Source organism: Homo sapiens, chromosome 10 (genome assembly GCF_000001405.40).
Source record: "Homo sapiens chromosome 10, GRCh38.p14 Primary Assembly".
Classification (NCBI taxonomy): domain Eukaryota; kingdom Metazoa; phylum Chordata; class Mammalia; order Primates; family Hominidae; genus Homo; species Homo sapiens.
The window spans coordinates 110,044,858-110,070,002 of NC_000010.11; the positions used below are offsets into that span (position 1 = coordinate 110,044,858).

The 25,145-nt window shown below is 38.6% G+C and overlaps 1 protein-coding gene across 24 annotated transcripts in view, besides 2 other annotated features; it reads left to right on the forward strand.

The window, feature by feature from the left end:
* Positions 1-25,145, forward strand: part of ADD3 (adducin 3) — a 139,193-nt gene that overhangs the window by 48,485 nt on the left and 65,563 nt on the right. The gene's annotated exons all lie outside the window — the stretch shown is intronic.
* Positions 15,109-15,168: an enhancer, noted in NCBI's record as "active region_4001". NCBI's record gives its function as "activates an Ori minimal core promoter by ATAC-STARR-seq in GM12878 lymphoblastoid cells {active_cell/tissue: GM12878}" and the evidence as "EXISTENCE:reporter gene assay evidence [ECO:0000049][PMID:35858748]".
* Positions 15,219-15,328: an enhancer, noted in NCBI's record as "active region_4002". NCBI's record gives its function as "activates an Ori minimal core promoter by ATAC-STARR-seq in GM12878 lymphoblastoid cells {active_cell/tissue: GM12878}" and the evidence as "EXISTENCE:reporter gene assay evidence [ECO:0000049][PMID:35858748]".

Here is a 25,145-nt window from a genome sequence, read left to right on the forward strand (position 1 = left end):
GTATAACTATGCATAGTCAGTCCTCAAAATAGATTGCTATGTGCATTTGGCTATGTGCATTTGAATTTTGACTACAGTCTTACAAGTGGAATCTTACTGTAAAGTAGTTCCAGACCTGAGGAAGAACGTCAGTTATTCAAGGTGTTGGGGGACTAGTTGGTTACTTAGTAGAAAATACTTTTCCGAAACACTGGGTAGTTTGAAGTAAAGTACCTGGCTGGGCGTGGTGGCTCATGCCTGTAATCCCAACACTTTGGGAGGCCAAGGTGGGGTGGATCACAAGGTCAGGAGTTCAAGACCAGCCTGGCCAACATAGTGAAACCCCGTCTCTACTAAAAATACAAAAATTAGCTGGGCATGGTGGCGTGCGCCTGTAGTCCCAGCTACTTGGGAGGCTAAGGCAGAAGAATTGCTTGAACCCAGGAGTCGGAGGTTGCAGTGAGCCGAGATTGTGCCACTGCACTCCAGCCTGGGTAACACAGCAAGACTCTGTCTCAAAAAAAAAAAGAGAAAGTACCTATGGTGAAAGAATAGAATGGTTTTGGGTCCTCTGTTGCTATTTAGCACTTTTGAGCTATAATATTAGTTATAGCAAAGATCTGTATAAATTTTATCTCCTTATAGTTGACGCTTGAGCAATGTGGGTTTGAATAGCACAAGTCCACTTACATGCAGATAATTTTCAGTACATGTTTTGGAAAATTATTTGGAGATTTGTGACAATTTGGAAAAATGGATGAACTAGAAATATCAAAATAAGAATAAAGTCATGAATGCAGAAAATATATGTAGATTCTATCTACTTCTATCATTTACCACCATAAAATATACACATATCTATTATAAAAAGTTAAAATTTATCAAAACTTACACACACAAACACAGACCATACATGGCACTGTCACAGTTGAGAGAAATGTAAATAAACATAAAAAGGCAGTATTAAATCATAGCTGCATATAATTAACTCTCGTACATACTGTAGTCCTGTAATCATGTAGCCACCTCTTCTTGCTGTTGCCGTGAGCTCAAGTGTTAGGACTATTTACTTAAAAAGCTGTGTGATGTTAATCATCTATGTGAACAGTTCATCCTTCCAGTAAATTGTGTATTTCAGTAAAAAGTGACCTCTCAGTATTATTGTGTATCTTTCATTGTGTCTAATGCAGAAATGTAAACCTTGAATAACACCATGAGACTCATACAAAGTGATACTTTCAAGAAGCAGAGAAAAGTCATGACATTCTAAGAAAAAGTTGAATTGCTTGATGTGTACCATAGATTGAGGTCTGCAGCTACTGTTGCCACCATTTCAGACAAATGATTCGTCTTGTAAACAGATGACATAAATTTATGGTATCAATAAATACAGTACAGTACCGTAAATGTATTTTCTTATGATTTTCTTAATATTTTCTTAGTATTTTCTATAGCTTGCTTTATTGTAGAGTACAGTAATATGTATATATATAACATACATAATCAACTGTTTATGCTATCAGTAAGGCTTCCAGTCAATAGTAGGCTATTAATAGTTGGGGATAGTCCAAAGTTATACGTGGATTTTTTTTTTTTTTTGACTGCGTCAGAGGCTGGTGCCCCTAACCTCCCATGTTGTTCAAGGGTCATCTATATGTAATTCTGGAGACGGGGAGGATCAAAAGCTTTGAAGGATATAAAATCTCATCTAAAGTGAAATTTTTATAGAATGTACATAAATGTATAGGTTAAATGGAAAGCAATGTTACAAGAGCCAAGGGTATTCAAATTCTACTTACTGTTGTCACTTTGGGGAAGTTGCTGAACTTTTCTAGGTCTTGTTTTCCTCATCTACAAGATGGAGGTAATTGTTGCCTCACTAAGGTAGTGGTGAGTATTAAGTACGATAAATATGTAAATCACTTAGCATGATGCCTTGTACATAATAGTTGCTTTAAAAATAGTAGCTGCTAATCAAGCACAAAATACTGGTTTGGAAATATTTGGTTTGAAATTGAAAAAGAATAACACCTTAAATAAATACTGTCATAATCCAGGATAATTTTGTCCTTTTTTTTGGTTTTATGAGGTTTGTATTGAAGCATTGCTGAAGTTCAGTGATTCTGAAGTGATGTCTACTATAAGCCCAAAGGGTCACAAGTGCTGACTACTGAGATGTAGTAGTTTTCACCCCAGAGACAGCAGAATGGAATTTCCACCAGATCACTCTTTGTGATAGATATTTTAAAAGCCATGCTATTCTAATGTGCCCTGAATAATATAGATAGCTAGTTCACAGTAGCTAAATAAATATTATTCATTATCTTTCCATTTACCTTTAGGGCAGTTGTAAAAGTCATGCTATTAATAGATCATTTATATGTTTAAAACTCAATAATATAGGTAACTCACAATTTACAAAGTAGATTTGCCGACTTAACACACTTTTAGCAACAGTCTGAGTAATATTAGGCTTAGACAGTTTTACATAATGTACTTATAGTTGGAGACTTGGCTTCTAGTCTATGACTTTGGGCAAGTCACTTGGCTCTCTCAGCCTCAGATTGCTCATCTGTAAATGCACACTATATTAAGTGGGGAAATCTGTTAAAATCAGGTGCTAGCATTCTCCAAATATATATATCGGGTCCCATTCCACGTCTTCTAAATCAGAACCTCTGTAGGTTGAGGCCTAGATAATTTTTTAATGTATCCCTGAAAACCATTTTATAAATGAAAATTTGTGCAGATACTATCTTTTAATATTCTTTGAATCTTAAGTATTTAGGAACTAATAGAGAAACTTGTCATGCTACTTATCGTATGACTTAGGAAAATAAGGAAAGATAGTTATAGGAAAAAGTCTCTGTTGCAAAATGAGAAATGAGATAGCTTCACAGAAGCACAAATGAAAGAAATGTAAATTCTAGAGAATTATCTGTGGGAAAAAGAAATTGTTTAATATATATCCTCAGAATATCTTGGGAGTGTCTTCAGCTGGTAAGGTAAAATGAGTATGTTTAAAATCCAGCTCAACTAATGAGAACCACTATCCCATTAGAAACAAACATATTATTACTATACTTTAAAAAGATTTAGCTAAGTGTAATATGAAATGTATCCTTTCTCAAGTGATATGGTGTGGCTGTGTCCCCACCCAAATCCCATATTGAATTGTGGCTCCCATAATTCCCATGTGTTGTGAGAGGGTCCCAGTGGGAGATAGTTAAATCGTGGGGGCAGTTTCCCTCATCCTGTTCTTGTGGTTGTCCTTAAGTCTCACGAGATGTGATGATTTTATAAGGGGTTTCCCCTTTCGCTTGATCATTCTCTCTTGTCTGCCACCATGTAAGACATGCCTTTCCCCTTCCACCATGATTGTGAGGCCTCCCCTCCCCAGCCACGTGGAACTGTGAGTCCATAAATCTCTTTTTCTTTATGAACTATCCAGCCTTGGGTATGTCTTTATCAGCAGCATGAAAATGGACTAATACTGTAAATTGGCACCAGGAGTGGGGTGCTGCTGTAAAGATGCCCAAAAATGTGGAAGCTCCTTTGGAACTGGGTAACAGGCAGAGGTTGGAACCATTTGGAGGGCTCAGAAGAAGACAGGAAAATATAGGAAAGTTTGGAACTTCCTAGAGACTTGTTGAATGGCTTTGACCAAAATGCTGACAATCATATGGACAATGAAATTTAGGCTGAGGTGGTCTTAGATGGAGATTAGGAACTTGGTGGGAACTGGAGTAAAGGTGACTCTTCTGTGTTTTAGCAAAGAGACTGCCAGCATTTTGCCCCTGCCCCAGAGATCTGTGGAACTTTGAACTTGAGAAAGATAACTTAGGGTATCTGGCAGAAGAAATTTCTAAATAACAAAGCATTCAAGAGGTGACTTGGGTGCTGTTAAAAGCATTCAGTTTTGAAAGGGAAATAGAGCATAAAGGTTTGGAAAACTTGCAGCCTGATGATGTGATAGAAAAGGAAAAGCCATTTTCTCCAGGAGAAATTCAAGCTGGCTGCAGAAATTTGCAGAAGTGATGAGGAGCCAAATGTTAATCGCCAAAACAATGGGGAAAATGTTTCCAGGGGATGTCAGAAAACTTTGTGCCAGCCCCTCCCATCACAGGCCTGGAGGCATGGAGGAAAAAATGGTTTCATGGACTGGGCCCAGAGTCCCCCTGCTGTGTGCAACCTAGGGACTTGGTGCCTTGTGTCCCAATCACTCTAGCCATGGCTAAAAGGGGCCAAGTTACAGCTCATGCTGTGGCCTCAGAGGGTGCAAGCCCCAACCTTGGCAGCTTCCACATGGTTTTGAGCCTGTGGGTGCACAGGAGTCAAGAATTGAGGTTTGGGAACCTCCACTTAGATTTCCGAGGATGTATGGAAACGCCTGGATTCCAGGCAGAAGTTTGCTGCAGGGCTGGGGCCGTCATGGAGAACCTCTGCTAGAGCAGTGCAGAATGGAAATGTGGGGTTGAAGCCCCCACATACAGTTCCCACTGGGGTGCTGCCTAGTGGAGCTGTGAGAAGAGGGCCACTGTCCTCTAGACCCCAGAATGGTAGATCCACTGACAGCTTGCACCGTGTGCCTGGAAAAGCCACAGACACTCAATGCCTGGGAAAGCAGCCTGAGTGGTGCTGTATTCTGCAAAGCCACAGGGGCGGAGCTGCTCAAGATCATAGGAACCCACCCCTTGCATCAGCGTGACCTGGATGTGAGACATGGAGTCAAAGGAGATCATTTTGGAACTTTAAGATTTGACTGCTCTGGCCAGGCGCGGTGGCTCATGCCTGTAAGCCCAGCACTTTGGGAGGCCAAGGCAGGCAGGTCACGAGGTCAGGAGATCGAGACCATCCTGGCTAACACGGTGAAACCCCGTCTCTACTAAAAATACAAAAAATTAGCTGGGCGTTGTGGCAGGCGCCTGTAGTCCCAGCTACTCGGGAGGCTGAGGCAGGAGAATGGCATGAACCCGGGAGGCAGAGCTTGCAGTGAGCCGAGATCGCGCCACTGCACTCCAGCCTGGGCGACAGAGCGAGACTCCGTCTCAAAAAAAAAAAAAAAAAAAGATTTGACTGCCCTGTTGGATTTTGGGACTTACATGGGGTCTGTAGCCCCTTTGTTTTTGTCAGTTTCTCCCATTTGGAACAGCTGTATTTACCCAATGCCTGGACCCCACTGTATCCAGGATGTAACTAACTTGATTTTGATTTTATAGGCTCATAGGCGGAAGGGACCGGTCTTGTCTCAGAAGAGACTTTGGACTGTGGACTTTGAGTTAATGCTGAAATGAGTTAAGACTTTGGGGGACTGTTGGAAAGTCATGATTGGTTTTGAAATATGAGGACATGAGATTTGGAGGGTCCAGAGGTGGAATGATATGGCTTGGCTGTGTCCCCACCCACATCTCATCTTGAATTGTAGCTCCCATAATTCCCATGTGCCGTAGGAGGGACCCAGTGGGAGATATTTGAATCATGGGGGCAGTTTCCTCCATACTATTCTTATGGTAGTGAGTAAGTCTGAGATCTGATGATTTTATAAGGGGTTTCCCCTTTAACTTGGCTCTCATTCTCTCTTGTCTGCCACCATATAAGACATGTCTTTTGCCTTCCACCGTGATTGTGAGTCCTCCCCAGCCACGTGGAACTGTGAGTCCATTAAACCTCTTTTTTTTTTTTTTTTTTTTTCCTGAAGCGGAGTCTCGCTCTGTTGCCCAGGCTGGAGTACAGTGGCACAATCTCAGCTCAATGCAACCTCTGCCTCCTGGGTTCAAGCGATTCTCCTGCCTCAGCCTTCCAAGTAGCTGGGATTACAGGTGTGCACGACCACACCAAGCTAATTTTCGTTTTTTAGTGGAGACAGGTTTCACCATGTTGGCCAGGCTGGTCTTGAACTCCCGACCTTTCAAGTGATCTGCCCATCTCGGCCTCCCAAAGTGCTGGGATTACAGGCAGGAGCCACCGTGCCTTTCTAAATTACCCAGTGTCAGGTATGTTTTTTTAGCAGTGTGAAAATGGACTAATACATCAAGCCATATTATATTGCTCTCAAATGTGTTTGGATGATGTGGAAAGTGAACCCTCTCATATATCAGTTGGAGTATAAGTTGGTGTTTGGAGGGCAATTTGCCAGTATCAAAATTAATATTGTCCCAGAAAGTAACTCACATATACAGTCAATTGATTTTTTGACAACGGTGCCAGCACCATTCAAGGGGGAGAAAATGGTCTTTTTCAAGAAATAGTGCTGGGAAAACTGGATGTCCTCATGCAAAAAAATGAAGTAAGACCCTTGTACAACATACAAAAATAAACTCAAAATGGATCAAAAACCTAAATAAAGAGCTAAAACCATAAGACTCTTAGAAGAAACCAGAGGGAAATCTTCATGACATCAGATTTGGAAATGATTTCTTGGATGTGACACCAAAAAACAGGCAACAAAAGGAAAAATAGGTAATTGAACTTTACCAAAATTTAAAATGTTGATGAGGATCTGGAGAAATTAGAAACTGCTGCTTGTAATGTAAAATGGTGCAACTGCTATGGAAAAACTATACAGTGGTTCCTCCAAAAGTTAAACATAATACAAAATTTATATAAATATTTGCAAATAAGTATATATAAGTGCATCATTATAATAGTGAAATATTAGGGAAAATCTATATGCCTGTTATAGGGAATTTGCTAAATAGTGATATATCCATACAGTGGAATACTGTGCAACCATTTAAAAATAAGTTAGATGGCTCTCTAAGTCCTGAAATAGAACATATTCTAGGGTATACCATTAAGTAGAACAAAGCAAGATGTAGAGAAGTGTGCATTCTCCAATTTTTGTAAAAACAGGAAATGCATAGAAAGAATCACAGGGTGGCAAAAGTAGTTCTTTCTAGGAAGGAGTTCAAGGTTGAGAGGAAGAGTAACTTAATTGTATAGATTCCTTTTTACGGTTGGCTTTTTATTTATTTACTTATTTTTGAGACAGAGTCTTGCTCTGTTGCCCAGGCTGAAGTGTAGTGGCACGAACATGGCTCACTGCAGCCTCAACCTCCTGGGTTCAAGCGATCCTCCAACCCAGCCTCCCAAGTAGCTGGGACCACAGGCCCACGCCATCATGGCTAAGTTTAAATTTTTTTCTTCTAGAGACAAGGTCTTGCCATGTTGCCCAAGCTGGTCTCAAGCTCCTGGGCTTCCCAAGGTGCTGTCTCAGCTTCCCAAGGTGTTGAGATTACAGGTGTGAGCCTTCATGCCCAGCCCAGTTTGGCTTTTTCTGTACCACTGAATTGTTTACTATGTACAGGTATTATAAGTGAATTGAAAAAAAATGTACCAATAATTTTCTTTTATAGAGGGATCTTTCATATCACCTCTGTCTACCTGGAAAGTAAGTAGTAGGTACCCCCTCCCTCTTTAGGAAAACACCAAAGAATCACTGCTCATAAGATATCTGCTTCAGCCTAATGGTCCCTGCCAGGGGTTCCCATTCCCTGGGCCCCGGACCAGTACCTGTTAGGAACCGGGCTGTGTGGCAGGCAAGTGAGCATAACCACCTGAGCTCCACTTCCTATCAGATCAGTGGTAGCATTAGATTCTCATAGGGGCCCGAACCCTGTTGTGAACTGCGCATTCAAGGAATTTAGGTTGCACACTCCTCATGAGAATGTAGTGCCTGATAATCAGAGCCACAGTTCCATTGGGAAACCATCCCCTTTCTTCCCGACCCCCAGTCTGTGGAAAAATTGTCTTCCCTGGTGCCAAAAAAGTTGGGGACCGATGGTCTATGCTAATAAATGTTTAGGGTAAAACAGCTTTCTTAAACTGCAGGCTCCTCCTGTGCATAAAGATACGTGGTTACTTTGACAAATAGCTTATATCAAAAATGTAAATAAGTGAATAGTTTTATTTTTAAGCCTGAAAACCATTTCAGAGGTTATATTTGATAGGAAAGTCAGTGACTCAAATGAAAGGAACTAAGGTCCATTCAAAGACAGGGTTGCAGAAGTTGAAGTAGAAAAGGTGAATTTCCTTAGAGCTTTAAGAAACATTGTTCAAATGGAGTGCAGGAACAACCATAAATATATAGTATGTTCTATGAAGATATAAATAATAATGAGGCCTTGAAGAGTTTGTCCTGAGGTGGGCAAAATACCTGGTTTAGAAAATGGAAACAAACAAACAAACACATGGGAATAACTATGCAAACACAATAGGAAAAATAGAGTTTTACTTTTGTTAGTGAGCAAATACAGCTTCCCAGTAGTACAGTAAATACAAGCCAGATGGCTGAGAGCATAAGATCATAGCAGAATGGGGAAAAATCAACTGAACAATTTACCAGTGATCTGTCTACATTTTCACATTTAGTTCAATAGTAATAAAAAGAATGCTGTTGGATTCACTTTCAAGTAGATGAATTTACATAATGCCAGTTTCTGCTTGGGTATAATGTGGATTTTTTTGTTGTTGTGGCAAATGATAATGGAATATAAAATAGCTTTTTACTTTTCATTGAACATTTCTCAATGTATCTTCTTTTTGGTTATAACTGTTAGAAACTGTCTATCTGGATTCTATAAAGGTCATCTCTATGTGTTTAAATTTTATGTCTGCATTTCTAGTAATACTCATTAGAAATTAGTACATATGCTGTAATACCCAAGACTATTGTTTTTCTATGAGTAAACTTAAAGTAGTACATTTTCTCTCACAGGGTGTACTTGTGTTATAAATTTGTTTTTATAGCTTGCTTTTGTTCATTTTTTTAACTTTAAAAAAATAGTAATTGGAACCTTTACTAACCATCAGTAGTCTTAATTTTCACTGTGAAGTTAATGACTGATTCATTTTCCTTGAGGATTATTGTTCTCATCAATAGGTAAAATAAGAGTAGGTAAAATTCCCCTAGAACAGAAAACTCCAATTCTCATGTACACACTGGTGTTGAAAGTATTAATAAGTTTAACTTTTATGGAAGGCAATTTGTCAGAGGTTAAATGCAACTACCCCTTGACTTGTCAGTTACATTTCTAGAAATTTACATTTTAGTTCCAAAAAATGCCAAGTTCTATGTACGAAGATGTTTATCATAACAGAATTGGTAATGACAAGAAAACAAACCGACCTGGAAATGGGAGATGTGTATGCCATAATCATGCACAGCAACCGTTGAAGAATGAGGTCATTTGATGTGTACTGACTTAGAATAAAATGTCCACTATAAATGTTTGAAAACTAAGCTGTAGAACAGAATATGCGATATAATAGATTTTTAAAAGTATGAACAATAAAGTTTCGTTTATATATGCTGAGAATGTGTGAAAGATGTACCTGACTTTGATTAAAATTTATTTTGGGGGAATGGTATGTGAATATTGAGTATGTGTTACTTTTATAGTACATTTTCAGAAATCAAGAATGTAGTATAAAGATTAAGAGCCATAAATCTGAGTCTCAAAATATTTCAGCCCTATCAGATAATGCTGCTATTATTTGTGTGTAATACAGGGAGTCTTGAGTTTAGAATTAGAAGCCCTAGATTGATAATCTGGGACTATCACTCAACTAGCTGCAAGATCTTGGGAGAAAGCCAGTTTTCTCTTTTTTTTTTTTTTTTTTTTGAGATGGAGTCTTGCCATGTTGCCCAGGCTGGAGTGCAATGGCGCGATCTCGGCTCACTGCAACCTCCACCTCCCAGGTTCAAGTGATTCTCCTGCCTCAGCCTGCGGAGTAGCTGGGATTTACAGGCACGCACCACCATGCCTGGCAAAATTTCTTTTTTTTTTTTTTTTTAGACGGAGTCTCGCTCTGTCCCCCAGGCTGCAATGCAGTGGCACGATCTCCGCTCACTGCAAGCTCTGCACCCCTGGGTTCATGCCATTCTCCTGCCTCAGCCTCCCAAGTAGCTGGGACTACAGGTGCCTGCCACCATGCCCGGCTAATTTTTTTGTATTTTTAGTAGAGACAGGGTTTCACCGTGTTAGCCAGGATGGTCTCGATCTCCTGACCTCGTGATCTGCCCACCTTGGCCTCCCAACGTGCTGGGCTTACAGGCATGAGCCACCGCGCCTGGCCTCCATGCCTGGCAAACTTTTTGTATCTTTAGTAGAGACAGGGTTTCTCCATGTTGGCCAGGCTGGTTTTGAACTCCTGACCTCGTGATCCGCCTTCCTCTGCCTCCCAAAGTGCTGGAATTACAAGCATGAGCCACCGCACCCAGCAGTTTTCTCATTCTTAAATGAAATTCATGTAAAGTGTTTACCTCTAGTAAGTGCCCAATAATATTAGCTGTTTTAATGCTAAAATATCAGACAAGAAACAGGAATAAGTTATGATGATAAAAACATATGGGCAGGTGTAGTCAAAATATTTTTTTGAACTGTTGAACTTCTTGCCCGGGTGTTCTGAATTATGGTATTGCATGACCATAGAAAATAGTGGTAAAGCAGTCTGTTTACATAAGCCACTCAGCTACTTGTTGCTATTACCCTTAATTTCAGAAATATTACACGTGGTACTTCTTGAACGTTAATTTGCTGAGAAATAAGCATGTTTTGGGATGAGTACTGAGTTCAGTGTTCCATATTTGGCAGTTGATAAAAAAATATGGGTTGCTGAGTTTCACAGCATAAGTTATTTGGCAATGGTATTATCTCAGATTCAGCTTTTAATGAATATTTACAATATTAATATCTTATTTTTCCTTGATTTTTTTTTCTAAGAAAAGCCCAGATTAAAACAAAAATGGATAAAGTATAAGTGAGTAACTATGGCAGCTCAATTGTCTAAGAACAAAGAGGCAGGCATCAGAGTCTTTGATTCCTGTCCTAACTCAGCAACTTAGTAACTCTGTGTCCTTGAGTAAATCCCTTAACTTGTCTAAGCCACAAAATGGATCTTAGTCTATGTATTGGAGCTATGATTTTTAAAAGTTGTTTTGAGCATAAAATGAAATGAAGGATGTAAAAGTGCATTATAAACTTGAAGACACTATGCTGATAGAGATTACACAGCTCCTTCTAATCAAGACTTTCTTGGCATAGTTTATTAAATGACATAAAGCTCATTATACAAATTTTCTCAATGGAATAAGACAGTAACGGTCAAATGAAACATAAATCCATGCTAACGACTATGAAATCTTTTGGCCTAGCTAAATGTGCAGACTATATAATCCCTTTGGTAGCATATGTATGAGTTTGTGACCTGAAGGCTGTTGTATTGCAAGCAGATTTTTATAAGTCAGCAAAGACATCTGAAATCACATCACAATTCCAGTGTTAATGAGATAACTAGCTGCATCACTGCTACCCTTCCTTGGCTCTTGGGTTTAGGGAAAACCTTAATCCTCAAACTAACATAATTCACAATAGGTTCTGATGATGCTCAAATGTATATAATCTTTAGTTCCATGAATAAATTGCATACTAGAGTTACTCACTTTCATTTTGCATTTGCAGACTTTGTGTTCTTACATTGAATGATATGTTTTCTAATCAACTGATTCCTTTAATGATTAATTTTAGGCTTAAACATAATATTTACAAAAGCAGGAAAGTGCAATTGAAAACTAGCAAAGACTAAGACAATTAGTATCAACCCCATTTTATATTGGGAATTAAAACTGTTTTGAAGATGACAGCACAGCCGAAGTAAGGGTTTTTTCTCCTTATCACAAACAGTAGTAGGCATTAATTTTTAGAAGTAGAAAATACCTTTCCTTATGCTTGGGAAATAAATGGAATTTTTTACAAAATAATTACAGGACTTGGAGTAGAAAGTGAAAAATTAATTTTGTGGTTTAGAGTATTAATTTGCTCTAAGAGTTAATAAAAGGAAATGGGAAATGGACAAATCAGATTTGTCTAGTCAACACTGAATAGATTCCTCAAAGTATTGAATTTGAAACAATTGGCACACATTTAAATTCTAAGATCTCTATAGCGAGTAAAACTTGAAGTTACTTTTTATCTCACCTTCCTCAAAAGTACCCTTAACCATGCACCTGGAGCAAAGGAAAAACCCTTTCTTTTTATTGGTCTTCTTTAGCTATCACAGGGACTATTTGGGCAGTGGCTATACTAATGGGAAGATGGGATTATAATTAGGTTAGTTTTCGTTCTTTCTAGACCCATGTCTTTATTTGAAAGTTCTTTGGATTCCTGTGGTCAGTGATACAGGGAAACTCTAGGTTCTTAACAGTTTCCAATTATTTTCTCAAGAATTCCTTAGGTTGCAAAATATTTTGATGCCTTTATGGATAAGAGATGGGCTGGGGTTAGTGACCCAGTGCATTTTTTCATACCCCCAATTCTCCCCATATCAACCCTTTCTCTACCCGACTCTGCACTTCTCTAATTGGGTATTATGTGACAACTAACTCTTCTCTGCATTGAATATATTATATTGTTACTTATCCAAAAATAGTTGCCAGTAATTTTTCCTAGTAGTTCTGGAAAATTCCTCTTCCTTAAAGATGCAGGAAAACAGTTTTACTGACCAAGAGGTGTTTTTTCAAAGACCCAAGTTGAGAACTAATGCTTTCAAACTCATGGCCTCAATCAGTCCTCCTGCCTGGGTTTCCCAAAGTGCTGGGATTATGGGCTAAGCTACCACTCCTAGCCAGGAACTAATGCTTTAGATCTACTGGTACTCAAACATTATTGTTCTTTGGAGTCACTTGGTGCTTCAAAATTATTGATGTCTAGGTCTCACTGCTGAGATTTTGATTTAAATGGTGTCGGTGCAGTCTGGGTACTGGGATTTTTTTAAAGCTCTTCATCTGATTCTAATTTGCAGTAAAGTTTGAAAACCACTGCTCTAGTCAATAAAACAAAACTAGGCAAAACTCCAGGAAGGCAGGAAGCTTGTTCTCCACTGAGACCCCAGCATGTAAAATGGTAAACAGTAGGCACCCAACAAATATTTTTTGTTGCAATGAAAGAATATACTTTTTAAGAATCACTGTAATTTAAAGAATAAACCAAGCAGTGATTCTTTGAAATAATCCATAGGAGCTAATGATAAGTTAGTGATGAAGTATGGATTCTTTTGTGTATGTATGTAGAAAAGCTGATGCTAGATAATCATTTTCAAAAATTATAGATAAAAATCTTTGCATGAATATCAAGTGGAAATATGCTATCATTTCCCTTATGCATATTTGCATTTAAAATAACCCACAGGGACAAAATGATTTTCCCACTGAAGCTAACTCTTACCATGAAATATTTCTTTGATTTAGTTATTTTCTCCTTTATCTCCTGAAGATTTTTTTTTTTTTTGGCTTGCCATATGCATGCTATTTTGCTTTTCCTTTGTACTTTGGGTTTTTGTGGTGTATTTTTTGAGGAGGGAGATTTCTTTTGCAAATAAAGGCAGCACTCTGTCTCTCCTTTTTTCAGGAAACACCTTTTTTTCTGTGTGATGCAGTCAGTTTTTGTCATTTCCACTTTAACGTGAACTAAGAAGTCATCCTTTTCCTGTGAACAGGAAATTTCCCAGCTGTTGATAAACTGTGGAGCCGCCTGTGAAAAAGGGCAAGATCTCAGAATTCCTTCTCTCGATTCTACATGTTCTTTATTGCTTTCTACATATTGCTGATCTTTTCATTTCTAATGTGTACCATCTGATTGACGAGATGGTGACTTCCTGTTTGAGAGTTAGCTCCATTCTTTGTGTATCATACCCACGGTGATAGTACTTTGTGAGGACTGTGGCAACAGTGCTGTGCTCTCCTCTGATGTAAAGGGTAAGCTGGGAAATCAAGACATTGAAAGGAGTATTAATTTGAAAATAATTCTATAGCATTTTCTTGGGGAAAAAATGCTCACCACCTCCTCTCTTTTCTAAACACACCATTTGAGGATATCACTATTTCCTTTGTATTGAGCCTTTTATGTATGTTGAACTATCATTTGGAATATGATCTGCTGATGTACCTGGGCACCTCTAATCAGCATCTAAGTATCTAGCTCATGATTCTTTTCAGTATCACAAATCCATTCTAAAGTGGAACTGTAGGAAGGATCTGTCATATTACTGTTAAATTATCATTGGTTGCAAAAGTTTTCCCAGTGCCTACAACACTGTCTTCCTTCTTTCCTTGACTCTCATCTTTTAAAATTATAGTTTATAAGTGACATTTAATTTATAAATCACTTAAAAATTACATTAGATCCATTGTGAAGTGCTCTCTTTTCACCTCCATTACCTTGGGCCTGGGTTAGGTGCCTTGTCTGTTAGCTGACACAGGATCCTATGAAAGATAAAGGAAATTCTATTTTTTTAAATTATATGTTGGTACCATGGAAACACTTTCAGAAATGGAAAACTAAAGATCACCCATACAGGCCGGGTACAGTGGCTCATGCCTGTAATCCCAGCACTTTAGGAGGCTGAGGCAGTTGAATCACTTGAAGTCAGGAGTTTGAGGCCTGCCTGGCCAAAATGGTGAAGTCCTGTCTAAACTAAAAATACAAAAATTAGCTGGGCGTGGTGGCGCATGCCTGTAATCCCAGCTACTCAGGAGGCTGACGCAGGAGAATTGCTTGAACCCGGGAGGCAGAGGTTGCAGTGAGCTGAGTGCGCGCTGCTGCACTCCAGCCTGGGTGACAAAGTGAGCAAGACTCTGTCTCATAAATAAATAGGCCGGGTGCAGGTGTCTGTAATCCCAGCACTTGGGGAAGCCAAGGCAGGCAGATCACGAGGTCAGGAGTTCGAGAACAGCCTGGCCACTATCACCATATAGAGACACCCCATCTCTACCAAAAATACAAAAATTAGCCGGGCGTGGTGGCTTGCGCCTGTAGTCCCAGCTACTCGGGAGGCTGAGGCAGAAGGATCGCTTGAACCCAGGAGGCGGAGGTTGCAGTGAGCCAAGATGGTGCCACTGCATTCCAGCCTGGGTGACAGAGCGAGACTCTGTCTCAAAAAAAATAAAAAATAAATAAAGATCATTCATACAAGTATGAATTTCTCAAAGGCCAAAGTTGGTTTTGTCTTTCTTGCTACAACCTGTTTATTCTGAAGAGTACAACCAAACACATTAGTCCCACATGGCTTTTTATTTAGGGACATCATGATGAAAGGTTATTCTGTGGACTCTCAAAGTACTTGTCATCCATAGACTTGCTGACACCTCGTCAAGGCTACTTGAATGGGTGTATTACACAGGCTTGGTCAAAGGGTTAATGCATGCTAGAAATGTGAAGTGAAGGGAATAGAGTTGAGGCTTGGGAACATTTATGTTTTTTAGACTGCGACTTCCTGTTCAGCTGAGAAGATAGTCCTGTAGCTTTGCTGTTAGCTAAGGAGACAGTCTTGTAAGCTTGACAGATCACAGCTGTATCCTGTACTTTGTGTGAAAATGTACTTGCTTTCCCTCCTGTTCATTTCGTTTTTCTAATTTCCTAATATATTAACGTTTATTCCAGTGTTTGATGGAGTAAGAAGTTGGGTATATGCCCACATGAGAATGTGAATAATAGCTAAGTACTAGGTTGTAGGCAGATAGTGGATTAAATATGGAGTGTGTGTGCTGCAAAAACTAAATGACAAGGAAAACCCCCCCTCTGAATAAAATTTTACAAGAAAGTCCCAAAAGCACTTGGATATTTTAGCCTAGTGCTATAATTGAAGCAGTTGTCTTATTTCTTTGCAAATCAGATAATTTCTTTATAAAGAATCAAATGCTTGCTCTGTGTTCTAACCATTCCACCATTTTATTCTCTCTCAAAGCTTGAGGACAACTTCGGGACATTTCTTTCATCTCACTATCCTAAAAATCTTTGCCACTGGAACAATATTAAACTACTTCCTTCCTTGGGATTTTGCACTCTGTCTGAGCCTAATATGCTAGTAGATTGTGTCTATCAACACAAATTCATTTTTTGACATTTGGACAGACAGAACTTGAAGTTTTTCAGTATCTCATCTCATTTGAAGTGGATGTTTCATTGTTGCTATAGAGGAATGACAATTACCGTGTTCTATAGGAGGTGGATTCCAATTTAAGCATTCTTTCCTGAGAGGCAACTTTAAATTTTATAGAGTAGAAAGAGTACTAGCCTGAAGTTAGGTTACGCACATTCTGTATGACCTTAGATAGTGACATTGGGCACCTCTGAATTCTCACAAGTGAAAAGAAAGAATTGGACTAGATGACCTTTAAGGTCCTTTTGACCGTATTTGACATTCACTGAGCCTGAGCTTTGTGCTATGACTATGTTGTCCCTCTCATTGTATTAGTGCCTATTACTCTGAAAAACCCACCGCTATATAATATGAAAGATGAGAAAGAGGTAAGCCAGCTGAGCTGTTTAATTTAGAAAGATGGAGCCATGGTGTTCCAGATGGTGAGGCTCATCCAGCAGAGCCATAAATGACAGCCAAAGTAGATACAGGTAATGCTGATGGCTTCCTGACAGTGTATGTAGTAGAGAGGGACTTATGGGATTGACTTACTGAATGACAGTTTTATTGGTGTAGTGCAGCCTGGAAAAGGGTTGTCAGTCTTTTTTTTGGGTGGAGTGGTGGTTTCTGTGTATGTCCCCTTAATGCTAATTGATGTTGAAAGTATAAATGAGACAGGATTGACTGGAGTCAGCTTTCCTTTGGGAAAGCAGAATGATAGCATCTTCAAGAAGTACTTTTGCAAGGTATAAAGCAAATAGGTACTGTACTTCATAGACACTTCTGCAGTGCCCATAAGTGCTGAAATAGATGAAATTCAGGTGCTTGTAGAGGAAGGAATATCCATTTGCACAGAGACCTAACTTAACAAATGGACTGGCTAATTAAGGGTTAACTATTTGCTTTTCTTTTGTATTGCTGTATTATCTTTATCTGGGTACCATAATCATCCTTGTAAATTTCTAGTCTGAGATACATTCTACACTAGACCCATTATAGGATATTAGAATTGTATGAAATCTTCAAGGGCATCTAATTCAGTCCTCTCATTTTCACTTGAGCAAAGTGAGTGCTAGAAAGACTGAGTAACTTAACCAAAATCATTGTGGGAGTTAAAATCAGAGCTAGAACTGGAACTAGAACCTAGTTCTGCTGACTACTAGATTTTTACTGTCAAGAATGCAAATTGGCCAGGCCAGACACGGTGGCTCACACCTATAATCCCAACACTTTGGGGTTCCAGGGCAGGAGGATCACTTGAGCCCAGAAATTCGAGGCTAGCCTGGGCAACAGGAGGACACCCCATCTCTACAAAAAATAAAATATCGAGGCCAGGTGCAGTGGCTCACGCCTGTAATCCCAGCACTTTGGGAGGCCGAGGCAGGCGTATCACCTGAGGTCGGGAGTTCAAGACCAGCCTGATGAACATGGAGAAACACTGTCTCTACTAAAAAAAAAAAAAAAAAAAAAAAAAAAAAAAAAAAAATACTAAGTTAGCTGGGCATGGTGGCACATGCTTGTAATCCCAGCTACCTGGGAGGCTGAGGCAGGAGAATGGCTTGAACCTGGAAGGCAGAGGTTGCGGTGAGCCAAGATCATGCCATTGCATGCCAATGCAGGCCATTGCACTGCAGCCTAAGCAGCAAGAGTGAAACTCCATCTCAAAAAAAAAAAAAAAAGATAGCTGGCTCGTGAGGGTGTGTACCTGTGGTCCCAGCTATTAGGTGGCTGAGGTGGAGGATTGCTTGAGCCCAGGAGGTCAGGGCTGCAGCGAGCTGTGATCTCACCACTGCACTCCTGCCTGGGCAACAGAGCAAGACCCTGTCTCAAAAATTAAATAAAATTAATACAAACCTACCTTTATATATTTGAAAGTGTGAAATGTACCCCCAAAATTTTCAAAATGGTAACCGATTTTAATAAATTAGTGAAGAAGACAAAATTAGTTTTTTCTAGGAATCTTCCTCCCAGCCTTTGCTCTTCAATAACGTATCAGAAAGTAGCATTCTACCAGCAGATACGTTTCCATATCACACTCTACCAGATTCTTAAACTATGAGATAAAACAGTATTAGGCAAAAGTAGCATAATATGGATATAAAATTTCTATTACACTGAGAATTCAGAAAATTCTCTTAGGACAAGATTGGATAGGGCAAGATTGTGTAACCCTGAAATGTGTTAGTCTTGAACAGATATTTCGGGATCTGTTCTGATTATCTCTCCCCAGCAGAAAGATTGTGATTAAGGGAAAAAATAATTCTTAATTATTTGTTGTGGGTTAGTGGTTACATGCAGGTTTTTGTTTTCATTTTGCATAATTTAGTTTCGAACAATGTCTTCATTTTTTTTAACGACTAGAAGGCCTAATTTAGATTTTAAGTGTTTTGTGAATGTGTTGTTAATGTTTCTTATCACTGAAAAATGGCATCAGGAGCTGAAGATGGGAGAAGCTGTTGAATTCAGACAACAGAATGCATTAATACTGTAACACTGCTGTTGGCCACAGTGATTGAACATTGTGATAATTTATGCTGCACTATGTATTTAAATCCATTATATTGTTGAGGTGGAGAAGCGGAGTTAAGTAGTGTACTGATTTCAGACCTAAATTTTCTTGAATTTCTTTATTTATTATGCCTCCTTGCTAAGTAGTTGATATTACATGGATCACTTACATTTTGTATAGGAGTATATATAGAGCTCATATAGGAGAACTTAGATTACTTCTTATAAGAAATTGGATACGAAAATGCTTTGGTTTTGTGAGAAAGAGGATTTAACAGTGTCTCCAGAGAGCTAAGCTAACCAACAGAAAAAATGGCATCAAGTTATAAATTCTTGCTATAGAAAGAGGGGAGGCTTTTCTTTCTTTTAAATCACTTAATTTTTTCAGATAAACTTTTAAATGCAAGTTTAACATATATATAGAAAAGTACAGAAATCATAACAGTACAGCTTGATGAATATGAATATATATATTCATTATATATATATATATATATATATATATATATATATATATATATATAAAGTGAACACCGTGTGTAACCTACCTAAGTCAAGAACTAGAATGCTAGCAACACCCTGCTCTGGGTTCTCAGGCATTTCTCCTCTCTCTGCAAGGCAGCCATAATCCTGACATAATTTAGTTTTGAACATACCATATTCTAAATTCAAAGTTTAGTTTTGAATACCATAGAGTAGTGTTGCCTGTTTCAGGATTTTATATACATGGAATCATTCAATATCTACTCTTTTGTCTCCAGCTTCTTTTGCCCAGCATTTTTTTTCCTGTGGGATTTGTCTGTGTTGTTAAATGTAACAGTAATTCATTCTCTTTATTGTATGTACTGTATTCCATTTTATGAACATAAAATAATTCATTTAGATAATGGTCATTCAGATTGTTTCCAGTTTGCATCTATTAAAAATAATTCTGCCATGAACATCCTTGTTGTATGGTTTTTGTTGTTCATATCCATGCAGCTCTTTTGAGTGTATTTCTGGGAGAGGAGTGGCTGGCTTACAGGGCATGTGTGTCTCCAACTTTTGCAGGTAAGGCCAGTTTCCCAAAGTATTTGTACTAATTGACATACCAACTCTGAGTTCCAGATGTTCCACATCCTTGCCAGTACTTGATATTAAGTTTTTTGTTTCTGTTTTCATTTTAGCCACACTGGTAGGTAGATAGTGGTATCTCACTGTGGCTTTAATTTTTATTTCCCTTATAACTAATGATGATGGGCACTTCTTAATGTACATACTGGGTTTTTGGATGTGCTTTTGCAAAGTGCTGTTCACGTCTTTTACTAATAGAAAAATTGGGTTATTTTTCTTTTTATTATTGATATCAGTGGTCTAAAAAGATATATTCTGGATTATCTTTTTTCAGATACCCTTAAAATGTTAACATCCATTCTTAAAATCCAAAGTTAATAGCTGTCTCTTCCCTTTTTCTGAACAATACAAGGATCTTAAAACACTCTTATTTTCTATTCTTATCTTATATGCTATTATTAACCAGGGTATTAGTTCACCTTGTTTTTAACCACCTGCATTTGTTATTGCTATTTTTTTATACAGTATTTTTAAAACTGCATGTTTCCCAGCCTGGGCAACATGGCAAAACCTTATCTCTACAAAAAATACAAAAATTAGCCAGGGGTGGTGGCACGCACCTGTAGTCCTAGCTATGCAGGAGGCTGAAGTGGGAGGATCGCTTGAACCTGGGAAGCAGAGGTTGCAGTGAGCTGAGATCTTGTCTAGGCGACAGAGCGAGACCCTGTTTCAGAAAAGAAAAAAAAAATTACAAATTTCTTTACTCACTGTTGTTTCTTCCATCCCAGCCTGCCCTTCCAGTTTTAATTTCTTTCTTCCTAGAATTTGTCCTTTAAAAGTTCCTTTAGTAAGTTCATAAAACTTTTTAGTGAGACAGTGTTTTATTTTACTCTTATTCTCCAAAGATAGTTTTGTTAGATATACAATTCCTAGACTGACATCTTGTCACAGCAATTTGAATATATTTCTTTGTCTCATTGCTTTTATTTAGTCTTCTTTTGAAGTCTGTTGCAGGTTTAATTGTCAGTCCTTTGTAGGCAGTCTGTCCCTGGACCACTCTGCAAAAAGTCTCTAGCCATGATTTCCTTGAATATCTCCTCTGATCTATTTCCTCTTCAGGAACTTTGGTATGTTGGACTTTACTAAAGTCTCTTAGTGTGTGTCTGTCTCTGTCTGTCTCTCTCTCTCTCTCTCTCTCTCATTTTTTCTTAGCCTCTCTCTCTCCCCTTTTTTTTTTTTTTTTTTGAGAAAGAATCTCACTCTGTTGCCCAGGCTGGAGTACAGTGGCTCGATCTTGGCTCACTGCACCCTCCGCCTCCCAGGTTCAAGTGATCCTCCTGCCTCAGCCTCCTGAGTAGCTAGGATTACAGGTGTGTGCCACCATGCCCGGCTAGTTTTTGTATTTTTAGTAGAGACGAGGTTTCACCATTTTGGCCAGGCTGGTCTCGAACTCCTGACCTTAAATGATCCACCTGCCTCAGCCTCCCAAAGTGCTGGGATTACAGGTGTGAGCCACGGCGCCCGACCTCTTTTAGCCTCTCTTCTGTATATTCTGTTTCTTTGTGTCTCTGTGCTTCATTCTCGCTAGTTTTTTCAAGTATGTATTTTAGTTTACTCTCTTGGGTCTCATGTACTGTTACTCCATTAAGTTTTTTCAATTATTCGATAGTCCTTAAAATCTGCTGGTCTTTATAGCATCTTCCTTTCTCATGCTTCTAATTTTATCTTTAAGGGTTTTGAACACTTAATTTAAGGGTCTTGAAACATGAAGACCACTTCATGTTTCTCTCTTGACTTGGGGTTTTCTGGACCATGCTGGTGTATAAACCCAAATCTCAAATCTTTGTGAGTGTAGGCCTATTGTTACAGATTAGCAAGGGAGACTTTTTCCATTCAGCGTTCTGGAAAAGACAGATAAGGCTTTTTGATTTGAGTGTTTGTTTGTTTTTGAGAGTCTCTCTCTGTCGCCCAGGCTGGAGGGCAGTGGCACAATCTTGGCTCACTGCAACGTCTGCCTCCGAGGTTCAAGCAGTTCTGCCTCAGCCTCCTGAGTAGCTGGGACTACAGGTGTGTGCCACCATGCCTGGCTAGTTTTTGTATTTTTAGTAGAGACAGTTTCACTGTGTTAGCCAGGATGGTCTCGATCTCCTGACCTCGTGATCCACCCTCCTTGGCCTTTCAAAGTGCTGGGATTACAGGTGTGAGCCACCGTGCCTGGCCCTTGATTAGGGTTTTTAATTCTCTCTGTTAAGGGATAGATTTTTTTTTCTTTCTTTTTGGTCAATCTTTTAACTAAGAATGAACCCTTCAACATTCTGGGTTTTTTTTGTGGGGTTCTCTGTAACTCCCCATCTTTTAGAAGTCTGTTACAGGCTTCGATAAGCATAGCCCACAATTTGTGAGTAGAAGAAAACCTGGTTTCTAGTTGTTGACTATGACTCTGAAATTCTTTTGTAAATTTTAAGCAGCTTATATTTCTTTGAGATATAATTGTCTAGAATTTTTTGGAAATTCTAAAACGAGTATTTCCATGAGCGTTTCTTACTAGTGGTGTGATCTATATAATGACATTATGTTGAGAGAGGTTTGTATATTTAGATCCCTCTTTTGCACTCTAGCTACAAATTTTTGTTTACAAACTGGTAAGCCAAAATATTAAAGCTACACTTGGTTGCTCTGTTCTGACTGTGTTAAGAACACGGGTCTAGGTGCACTGATTGGTTTCTGGTTTAGCAAGCACACCTTGACTTTTGTATTATGGTGAAAGCAAATGCTTGTTAACTGTATAGTGCCTTTTAAAAAAATTCCTGTAGGAAGATATTAATGCTTAGAAAAATCAGTAGATTTGATTAATAAATCATCTATAAAAAACCTGAAATATTTTTCAACTTTCATTTCCTAGAGTGTAGTAAAGGCAGTAACTGTTAAACGTGAAATCAAATAAAGTAATTTGCACCTGGAAGAAAGCCTTTCTAAAATTATTTCTGTAGTTTCTAGCCACATGATTGAAAAATACAATAAATGTATATTATGTTATTACTTCTCATTTGCAGTTTTTATAAACTTTAAAGCAACTTCAGAGGTGCTAACTTGGGCCTTCTTTCTTCCCTCCACCTCCCCTTTTTATTTAAAGCATCATATCATTTATTATATTGGACCAGCAGGAATGAGTTTAAAGAGGTTGAGAACTGTTTCAGATTAATAACTTGGAAATATCCCACAGGAGTCACAGTATTGCTTATCTTGGATTAAGTTTTAAGAATCCAGTCATTGAGAATTATTTCTATAAGCTGCCATATTTAAAGTTGGAGTGAGGAAGAACCTTACACTGATCCACATACCCCAAAATTCGTGTCAGTGTACTTTATGGGGATCTTGTAGTTTGAAGGATGGCATGGTCCACAAGATAAAAAGCTTCATCATGACAGTCAATAAGTAATGTTCTGGGTTTACATAGAGTTTATATTTCTTTCCTCAAGGTTCTCAGTTTTTCATTTTCATGTATAAGGTATACATCGCTTTTCTAAAACACCAACAATGCTAGATTATTTTTGCTTTGATTTGCTTTGTTTTTTTCATATTCCTTTGAATGATTTAGTTATTACTTCTCTTTGTTTAATATTTTTTAAAGGGATAACTATTTATCCTAACTTTCTCTATACTGGAAAAACACCCCCTTTCCTTCCCCCATTTACAGGATTGTGCAACCTTTCAGTTAAACAAAACCAAAATTGTTCACTTGCTCAGTGTTCCACCCCCTTGAAATAAGCCACATAGCTCTCTATGGGTGTGGCCCAGCGTCTTTGGCTGCCACAGTTACTTGATCCCCTTATCTCATGTCACCCTTGGCTCCCTATATTGTCTCTTCATCTGGTTTCTTAGCTCCTCCTTTTCCCGCTTCCACCGAGTTTTTGTACTGCTCCTGTCACTTTGCTTCTCAGAAGTTCAGAAGCAATTGTCATGAGCTTTTCCACCTCCCCCCCTCCTTTCTCTGAATCTTCTGAGGAAGTTACAGTTGGCCCTCCACTTCTGAGGGTTTCGCATTCTCAGATTCAACCAACCACAGATTGAAAATATTAGAGTAAAAATACAGAATAACTACTTACATAGCATTTACATTGTATTAGGCATCATAAGTAATCTAGAGATGATTCAAAGTATTCAGGAGGAAGTACAAAGTTTTATGCAGATACCACTTCATTTTATATCAGAGACTTGAGCATCCTGGATTTTGGTGGCCATGGGAGGTCCTAGAACTAATCCCTGATGGATACCTAGGGACAGCTGTACATATACACTGTCCAAAGAATTCATTGAGGATTTCCTACTCCAGGATTAAACTCCTGAAGTGAACGTTTTGAAAGGCAAAAGGATTTTTTCTTTTTTGTCAAAGTTTAGATGTTGTAGGTGTGAATTCATTAGTATAAAGTACTTACAGCCCTTGCTTTATATAAAGTATATGCTCCTAAAAAGTTGGCTAGTGGCTGGTCATGGTGGCTTATTCCTGTAATCCCAGCACTTTGGGAGGCTGAGGGAGCTGGATCACTTGAGCGCAGGAGTTTGAGATCAGCCTGGGCAACGTGGTGAGACCTCGTCTCTGCAAAAAATAGAAAAATTAGCTGGGCGTGGTCATGTGAGCCTGTGGTCCCAGCTACTTGGGAGGCTGAGCTGGGAGGATTATTTGAGCCCGGGGAGGTTGTGGCTGCAGTGAGCCATGATCATGCCGCTGCACCCAGCCTGGGCAATAGAGTGGGACCCTGTCTTAAAAAAAAAAAATTGCCTGTATCTCAGTATAACATGGTTAAATGCAGGTGCGATTACTATTTAAGACAACCTGGCAAGGAATCTTTAAATAATTTACATAAATAATCCTACCTTAATTTTTCCATTTTAAAGGATTTTTCCTCTCAGGTTGTCATGATTGTATATGCTGTAAATGATCTGCATATTCTTCTTCATAAAAATGGAAGATTTGTTATTTATTTGTACTTCAGTGTGGAAGCATCTTAAACATTAACCCTGTGGCATTTTCTCATCAATAGTAAGTTGATCAAATGAGTGACCCAGTCTCAGCAATTTAACATATCATCCCTTTCAGCTTTAAATGTATATTTAATCACCTTAGCCCATTTTTCAATCCACAAAAGTAACCTTTCTCATATATCAACAGCTTTCTGGGCCAGTGAACCTTAGAACTTAAGTGCCTTACAAAACATAATGCTTATTAGTTGTGTTTTTTTTTTCCCCTTCCCACCCTCTCCCATTAAATCTACCTTGCTTATACTTGATGCTTTTAAGGATTTGAGCTCATAGGGTGTAGTATAATGTAGTGCCACCTTGACCATGAAATTTGTTTACTGACCTTAGTATTAACCTAGAACATTCTTATGCCTCTTTTCATGGTGATGTGGTGTCAGATTACAATTTGACTGGCTTTCAAGATAATTGGTCTTAATTATTTCTAAGTCATTGGTTAATGCAGTGTAAGAACAAGCATTGTTTAAAAAAGAATATAAATGGCTTTTGAGTTTCTTTTCTTAGCATGCAAGTCAGATTAGAGTGAAAGCAAAAGCACATGACACAAAACTGTGGTTCGCTAATAGATTGTAGGCTTCCTGTAGCTTAAATTATACACACCACAGTAAACTGTTACCCAGTGGCAATTTTGATTTCCCTTTTGTATTAGTTGT